Below are 9709 nucleotides of genomic sequence, written 5' to 3' on the forward strand. Positions count from 1 at the left end.
ACTTCCTTGAGGGATTCCTTCTCTATATTTTCTTTCCTCAAAACACTCATGCATGCACAAGCATATACTATCGCCAGTCTTTTCATGTTCCTTCACAGTCCTCCTTTGCTATGAGGTGATTAAAAAAAAGAAAAAAAAAAAAAGCCTAGCCTAGACTTTTGAAATAGATACTCATGCGATTGTTTGCTTGTTGCCACTCTCCCTCACCAGAAAAGATTTGGATTGTGCTTGTGTTGCTTATTGCTTTATGTGCTCAGTAAATATTTTTGAATAAATGAACGTACCTAGCAGTGTAATAGCTACACAGCATTATTGCCCAGCACCAACTAGCTGCAGTTGTTACATCTGTGAGATGGAGAAGAGAGAGAGGGAGAGAGAAGAGAAAAGTTCTAATTGGTTTGGTCACCATTTGGTCATCATATTTTTTTATTTGAGGCTAAAGGTGTCAGGAATATTGGGTGTGATGATCATTCAGCAAGAACTGTGGACATTGACAGATTTAGTGACACTGGGCGTGGACGTGACAGATTCCTCAAAGTAGACTTAACATGTTAATAACCAGATAAGCAGAGATAAGAAATTCATAGATAGATCTGCAGAGGGCATTTAAGAATGAAAAGCAAACAATAGCAAGGGAGAAGGACTGACCAGGAACAAATATAGGCCCCAAATTGTTTGGAGTATACTCACTGTGTCCTTGTGAGTCAACATTATAATGCTGCCATTTGAAATTTCAGTGACTAGACTATGTTAATAAGAAGATATTATGTAACCATTTCTAATAGTCATCATTCACCATAATATATATCTTCTAGGCTTCTTTATCTTCAAATGGTGGAAGAGATAATGATTGATGTAACAGTGAATAACAGAAATTAATACTTTGAAAAGTAAATGTAACAGAATAACCCAGAGAGTCCAAAGAGAAGAATATTGAGGAAAGATGTGATCCCTCTTTGATTTAGAAATAGTTAGTATACACGGAATATTAATAAAAAAGTTTTTGTCACTACCATGAAACAAGAGGAAGCAGGGTTAAATTGTTACAATTATCAACAAGATTATAAGCATGCAGGTAAGGACGTTTGTTGTGCGTTCACCAATACTGTCCCAATGCCCGACACAGGGCTTGGCAATAGGTACTGTTCAATTAATGTAAGCTGAATAAATGAATGAAAGTGTTGGTTATTTAGTCCCCATATGCATGTACTTCTATAGAAATAATATCAAACAAAATAGATGATATTTGAGTGTTTGTAATGTGAGGCACTCTTCTAAGACATTCTTATGTAAAACTCATTGAATATAGGCCGGGCACAGTGGCTCACACCTGTAATCCCAGCACTTTGGTTTGGGAGGCCGAGATGGGCGGATCACCTGAGGTTAGGAGTTTGAGACCAGCCTAGCTTACGTGGAGAAACCCCGTCTCCACTAAAACAAACAAACAAACAAACAAACAAACAAACAAATTAGCCAGGCGTGGTGGTGCGTGCCTGTATTCCCAGCCAGGCGTGGTGGTGCGTGCCTCCTCGGGAGGCTGAGGCAAGAGAATCACTTGAATCTGGGAGGCAGAGGTTGCAGTGAGCCAAGATCATGCCACTGCACTCCAGCCAGGATGACAGAGTGAGACTCTGTCTCAGAAAAAAACAAAACAAAACAAAAAACTAATTGAATATTTACAACACATTTGAAAATGTCGATTCTATTACTATCCAAGTATAGTGAGGCCAATAGACCAGGAAATGACTGCCACTAACAAGTTAGTGTTTTACTCCCAGTTCCAAGAGGAGGGCGAATATGCTAGGTACACTATTCAAGGATGCAGGGGAAAGCACCAAGGTCAGTCAGGAGGAAGAAGAGACAAAAGGAACAGCTTTTATTATGGTCTTCATGGGAAGAAATGGGCAAGGTGGGGTAAGCCAGCTGAGCATGTTTAGGATTAGATAGTTTGAATAATTTCCTTGGGCTCTGGCCTATAGTGGTAGTCCCTAGTTGTTTGGTACCTGGCCCTAGGTGACTTAGGGCAAGGGAAGAGTGTCCAGGACTGCAGGAGCCTGATAAAAGGAAGTGGGTGGGGGTATGGACTCAGATTAGTTGGTTTGCACATCAAGGATGTACTCACAGGCAGGTTGTTTGCCATCCCTAAGAATTAGCCAAGTCTGGGAGAGGCAGTCCCTTCTCAGGTATACAAGGCTGAGGATATCAAAGCATCATCAAGTACAGAAAAATTTAAAAACATGATTAATACCCACCCTATTTAAAAACATGATTAATACCCACCCTCATGAGCTAGGAATTATTATTATTCAAACTTTCAGATGAGCATGGAGTCAGAGAAAGGCTCCATAACTTTCCCAAAATAACAGAAGTAGTAAGTGGTCAAGCTGGTATTCAAACCAGATAATATGGCTTCAAGACTCAGTTCTTAACTGTCATATTATACTTTACATATACGTAGTAAGAGACTACCAAATAAAACAAAAAACCTAGATAATTTTTAAAAAACCTAGATAATTCAAATACACATAGAATGAAACAACCAAGAGCAGAATTAATAAAGCCATGAATATAAATGTATTTAGTTTAGTGATTAAAATCTTGCTGAGAGGCGAATGGGTCATTAGATGAGAGAACTTTTCTTTTTTATTTTATAAAGATGACTTCATAGATGATTTTTTTTTTTTAGGATGAGAAGAAAGATACTTTCTAGACAATAAAGACTATTTATATTTACACCTTCTGAATACATACTACATCGTATTGTATCATAGCTTTTTTTTAACATGGATTTTCCACATTACACAGTGGTCATGTATGGCAGAGACTATTTTATTTACCTCAGTATCTCTAATGCCTGACATATAATAGGCATTCTAGGAAATTGTGTGAAATATTGAAACCCTGATGGTAGCTATGTTAGATGGATAGATAGATAACATAATGATTGATAGGCCAGCAGACAGAGAGATATGATGTGCAGTTTTTGAAGACAGTGGCCTGGCCTGGATTGCTCTGAACACTGTGTTCTAAATGCACATTTCTTCCTTATGTAATAGCTCAGAAAGAATCAGGAGTGAAATAGGCACTTAGAGAGGCTGAGACTGGCTCCTGATTGCACTTTGGTTATTCAGCAACTCAACATACTCATCAGATCATTGTTCCTATGGTCTTTATTCATTAGTTATTCAACTGGGAGCTAACAGAGTGGGCCACCTGTGCTGAGGCCAAGCTCAATGAACTTGGAAAGATGATGATGGGAGACAGTTAAATATTTAAAGGCAATAAAAGAAGTAAGCATTAGTATTGTAATAAAATGCCATTAAACTTTTTAAAAATCGAATCAGCACATTTCTGTGTAGTGTTGGTGTTCATTTTACATCCCTTGATCTGTAGGATGAGATTTGTTTCTCGTGGGAGAACACTTCACCAAGCTTACTAGAGTTAATTGCATTTAGCTATTGTAAGTTGTAAAATGAATGCACCTTGAATATTAGACTGTTCATACCACAGTCTTTTGCAGAAACTGAAAAGCAAAAGGGCTTATTCCCACAAGTTTGTTTCAATTTTAATTGCATTTTGAAGAAACCCAGAAGCTTGGAGCCAAGATTTGAAGATATTAGAATGTAGGTCATTATACTAGTGCACAAATTTTATCTCTAGGACTATACAACAGTGACTTACAAAAAAAATGATTTAAATGAATTTTTATTGTTTGGCATGTCAGCAAAAATATTTCAGAGAATTACTATGCTAGGTAAGAAGATGGATTAGTCTTATTCATCACATTCTGTGGATTATTTCTTTTTGGTGCCTACTTGTGTGCAGATGGTTTAAAAAGCATGATTCATTAATAATTGCTAGAGCTATTAATTGAAAATGTAGATTTTGAACTCATTTCCTTCCTATTACCCTGTGGAAGGCTAACATTTCCAGTTTCTGGCTTTATATCAAGTCAACCCAATTTGACTGACTACCATTTTTTAAAAATATAAATATCTATGGAGTAAAAAGGGAAAAAAATCAAAGTTTCTTTTTCTCTGATCTATATTAAATCAAACTGAACATGGCCTATTTTTAATTACTTATTTGTTTTTAATATTTTTTTTCTTTTTCTTATGTAGTCTCATGTGAGTGTCACAGCAAAGACAGAGGGTGTGAATTTTGCAGAGTTCCCTGTTTACTGGTCAACATTTTTAGCATGTAGCTAAAAATAATAATTTTGCAAGGTTATTTATTACTTGTTTACATTATTTGAACTTTTATATTTCTTTTTTGAGAGAACTTCAGTAAGCAGGGCACAATATATTGCTAAATACATTTTTTAAAGGATTTTCAAAAACCTTTCTATTGTATAAGAGTAATTTAATATAAAAATAATTTTTTCATTATAGATTTCTTCTTTTTTATTTCAGTAGGTTTTAGGGGAACAGGTGGTGTTTGGTTACATGCATAAGTTCTTTAACAGTGATTTCCGAGATTTTGACGCACCCATCACTCGAGCAGTGTACCCTATACCCAGTATGTAGTCTTTTATACTTTACCCCACCCTTCCCCGCCAAGTTCCCAGAGTCCATTGTATAATTCTTATGACTTTACCTCCTCATAGCATCCAGGTTGCTGCAAATGCCATTGTTTCCTTCCTTTTAATGGCTGAGTAGTATTCCATGGGTATATAAATCACATTTCCTTTATCCACTCATTGATTGATGGGAATTTGGTCTGGTTCCATATTTTTGCAATTGTGAATTGTGCTGCTATAAACATACATGTGCAAGTGTCTTTTTCATATAATGACGTCTTTTCCTCTGGGTAGATACCTAGTAGTGGGATCACTGGATCAAAAGGTAGTTCTACTTTTAATTTTTTAAGGAATCTTCAGACAGTTTACCATAGTGGTTGTACTAGTTTACATTCCCACCAACATTGTAAAAATGTACGTTTTTCACCAGATCTATGCCAACATCTATTTTTTTTTTTTATCATGGTCATTCTTTTAGGAGTAACGTGGTATCTCATTGTGGTTTTGATTTGCATTTTCCTGATAATTAGTGATATTGAGCATTTTTATATGTTTGTTGGCCATTTATATATCTTCTTTTGAGAACTGTCCATTCATGTTCTTAGCTCAGTTTTTGATGGGATTATTTGCTTTTTTCTTGCTGATCTGTTTGAGTTCCTTATAGATTCTGGATATTTGTCCTTTGTCAGATGCATAGTTTGTGAATATTTTCTCCCACTCTGTGGGTTGTCTGTTTACTCTGCTGATAATTTATTTTGCTGTGCGGAAGCTTTTTAGTTTAATTAAGTCTCATCTGTTTATCTTTGTTTTTGTCGCATTTACTTTTGGGTTCTTGGTCATGAAGTTTTTGCCTAAGGCAATGTCTAGAAAGGTTTTTTCCAATGTTATCTTCTAGAATTTTTGTGGCTTCAGGGCTTAAATTTAAGTATTTGCTCCATCTTGAGTTGAGTTTGTATAAGGTGAGCGATGACGATCCAGTTTCATTCTTCCACATGTGGCTTGCCAATTATCCCAGCACCATTTGTTGAATAGGGTGTCCTTTCTCCACTTTATGTTTTTGTTTGCTTTGTCGAAGGTCAGTTGGCTGTAAGTATTTGGCTTTATTTCTGTGTTTTGCATACTGCATACTGTAAAACAGTACATGCTGTTTTGGTGAGTATAGCCTTACAGTATAGTTTGAAGTTGGGTAATGTGATGCCTCCAGATTTGTTCTTTTGCTTAGTCTTGCTTTGGCTATGTGGGCTCTGTTTTGTTCCATATGAAATTTCAGATTGCTTTTTCAAGTTCTGTGAAGAATGATAAAAGACCCAAATAAGCTCGATTAGGAACAAAACGGGAGATATTTAATTTAATTCTGCTCTGATCTTTGTTATTCCTTTTCTTCTGCTGAGTTTGGGTTTGGTTTGTTCTTATTCCTCTACTTCCTTGAAGTGTGACCTTATATTGTCTCTTTGTGCTCTTTGAGACTTTTTGATGTAGGTATTTAATGCAATGAACTTTCCTCTTAGCATGACTTTTGCTATATTCAGAGGTTTTGATATGTTGTGTCACTGTTATCATTCAATTCAAATAATGTTTTAATTTCCATATTGATTTCATTGTTGAGGCAACAATCATTCAGGTACAGCTTATTTAATTTATATGTATTTTCACAGTTTTGAGATTTCCTTTTGGAGTTGATTTCCAATTTTATTTCACTGTGGTCTGAGAGTACTTAACATAATTTCGATTTTCTTAAATTTATTGAGACTTGTTTTGTGGTGTGTCATATGGTCTATCTTGGAGAATGTTCCATGTGCTGATGAATAGAATGTACATTCTGTAGTTGTTGGGTAGAATGCTCTGTTAATATCTGTAAAGTCCTTTTGTTCTGGGGTATAGTTTAAATCCATTGTTTCTTTTTTGACTTTCTGTCTTCATGACCTGTATAGTGCTGTCAGTGGAGTATTGAAGTCCCCCACTATTATTGTGTTGCTGTCCATCTCATTTCTTAGGTCTAGTAGTAATTGTTTTATAAATTTGGGAGCTCCACTGTTAAGTGCATATATATTTAGGATTGTGATAATTTCCTGTTGGACTAATCCTTTTATCATTACGTAATGTCCTTCTTTGTCTTTTTTTTTTTTTATACTTTAAGTTTTAGGGTACATGTGCACAATGTGCAGGTTAGTTACATATGTATACATGTGCCATCCTGGTGTGCTGCACCCATTAGCTCGTCATTTAGCATTAGGTATATTTCCTAATGCTAACCCTCCCCCCTCCCCCCACCCCACAACAGTCCCCAGAGTGTGATGTTCCCCTTCCTGTGTCCATGTATTCTCATTGTTCAATTCCTACCTATGAGTGAGAACATGCGGTGTTTGGTTTTTTGTCCTTGCGATAGTTTACTGAGAGTGATGATTTCCAATTTCATCCATGTCCCTACAAAGGACATGAACTCATCATTTTTTATGGCTACATAGTATTCCATGGTGTATATGTACCACATTTTCTTAATCCAGTCTATCATTGTTGGACATTTGGGTTGGTTCCAAGTCTTTGCTATTGTGAATAGTGCCACAATAAACATACGTGTGCATGTGTCTTTATAGCAGCATGATTTATAGTCCTTTGGGTATATACCCAGTAATGGGATGGCTGGGTCAAATGGTATTTCTAGTTCTAGATCCCTGAGGAATCGCCACACTAACTTCCACAATGGTTGAACTAGTTTACAGTCCCACCAGCAGTGTAAAAGTGTTCCTATTTCTCCACATCCTCTCCAGCACCTGTTGTTTCCTGACTTTTTAATGATCGCCATTCTAACTGGTGTGAGATAGTATCTCATTGTGGTTTTGATTTGCATTTCTCTGATGGCCAGCGATGATGAGCATTTTTTCATGTGTCTTTTGGCTGCATAAATGTCTTCTTTTGAGAAGTGTCTGTTCATATCCTTCGCCCACTTGTTGATGGGGTTGTTTGTTTTTTTCTTGTAAATTTGTTTGAGTTCATTGTAGATTCTGGATATTAGCCCTTTGTCAGATGAGTAGGTTGCGAAAGTTTTCTCCCATTTTGTAGGTTGCCTGTTCACTCTGATGGTAGTTTCTTTTGCTGTGCAGAAGCTCTTTAGTTTAATTAGATCCCATTTGTCAATTTTGGCTTCTGTTGCCATTGCTTTTGGTGTTTTAGACATGAAGTCCTTGCCCATGCCTATGTCCTGAATGGTAATGCCTAGGTTTTCTTCTAGGGTTTTTATGGTTTTAGGTCTAACATTTAAGTCTTTAATCCATCTTGAATTAATTTTTGTATAAGGTGTAAGGAAGGGATCCAGTTTCAGCTTTCTACATATGGCTAGCCAGTTTTCCCAGCACCATTTATTAAATAGGGAATCCTTTCCCCATTGCTTGTTTTTCTCTGGTTTATCAAATATCAGATAGTTGTAGATATGCGGCATTATTTCTGAGGGCTCGGTTCTGTTCCATTGATCTATATCTTTGTTTTGGTACCAGTACCATGCTGTTTTGGTTACTGTAGCCTTGTAGTATAGTTTGAAGTCAGGTAGCATGATGCCTCCAGCTTTGTTCTTTTGGCTTAGGATTGACTTGGCGATGCGGGCTCTTTTTTGGTTCCATATGATTTTTAAAGTAGTTTTTTCCAATTCTGTGAAGAAAGTCATTGGTAGCTTGATGGGGATGGCATTGAATCTATAAATTACCTTGGGCAGTATTGCCATTTTCATGATATTGATTCTTCCTACCCATGAGCATGGAATGTTCTTCCATTTGTTTGTATCCTCTTTTATTTCATTGAGCAGTGGTTTGTAGTTCTCCTTGAAGAGGTCCTTCACGTCCCTTGTAAGTTGGATTCCTAGGTATTTTATTCTCTTTGAAGCAATTGTGAATGGGAGTTCACTCATGATTTGGCTCTCTGTTTGTCTGTTATTGGTGTATAAGAATGCTTGTGATTTTTGTACATTGATTTTGTATCCTGAGACTTTGCTGAAGTTGCTTATCAGCTTAAGGAGATTTTGGGCTGAGACAATGGGGTTTTCTAGATATACAATCATGTCGTCTGCAAACAGGGACAATTTGACTTCCTCTTTTCCTAATTGAATACCCTTTATTTCCTTCTCCTGCCTAATTGCCCTGGCCAGAACTTCCAACGCTATGTTGAATAGGAGTGGTGAGAGAGGGCATCCTTGTCTTGTGCCAGTTTTCAAAGGGAATGCTTCCAGTTTTTGCCCATTCAGTATGATATTGGCTGTGGGTTTGTCATAGATAGCTCTTATTATTTTGAGATACGTCCCATCAGTACTTAATTTATTGAGAGTTTTTAGCATGGAGGGTTGTTGAATTTTGTCAAAGGCCTTTTCTGCATCTATTGAGATAATCATGTGGTTTTTGTCTTTGGTTCTGTTTATATGCTGGATTACATTTATTGGTTTGCGTATATTGAACCAGCCTTGCATCCCAGGGATGAAGCCCACTTGATCATGGTGGATAAGCTTTTTGATGTGCTGCTGGATTTGGTTTGCCAGTATTTTATTGAGGAGTTTTGCATCAATATTCATCAAGAATATTGGTCTAAAATTCTCTTTTTTGGTTGTGTCTCTGCCTGGCTTTGGTATCAGGATGATGCCGGCCTCATAAAATGAGTTAGGGAGGATTCCCTCTTTTTCTGTTGATTCGAATAGTTTCAGAAGGAATGGTACCAGTTCCTCCTTGTACCTCTGGTAGAATTCTGCTGTGAATCCATCTGGTCCTGGACTCTTTTTGGTTGGTAAGCTATTGATTATTGCCACAATTTCAGATCCTGTTATTGGTCTATTCAGGGATTCAACTTCTTCCTGGTTTAGTCTTGGGAGAGTGTATATGTCGAGGAATTTATCCATTTCTTCTAGATTTTCTAGTTTATTTGCGTAGAGGGGTTTGTAGTATTCTCTGATGGTAGTTTGTATTTCTGTGGGATCGGTGGTGATATCCCCTTTATCATTTTTTATTGCGTCTATTTGATTCTTCTCTCTTTTTTTCTTTATTAGTCTTGCTAGCGGTCTATCAATTTTGTTGATCCTTTCAAAAAGTCAGCTCCTGGATTCATTAATTTTTTGAAGGGTTTTTTGTGTCTCCATTTCCTTCAGTTCTGCTCTGATTTTAGTTATTTCTTGCCTTCTGCTAGCTTTTGAATGTGTTTGCTCTTGCTTTTCTAGTT

Source organism: Homo sapiens, chromosome 2 (genome assembly GCF_000001405.40).
Source record: "Homo sapiens chromosome 2, GRCh38.p14 Primary Assembly".
NCBI classification, from domain to species: Eukaryota; Metazoa; Chordata; class Mammalia; order Primates; family Hominidae; genus Homo; species Homo sapiens.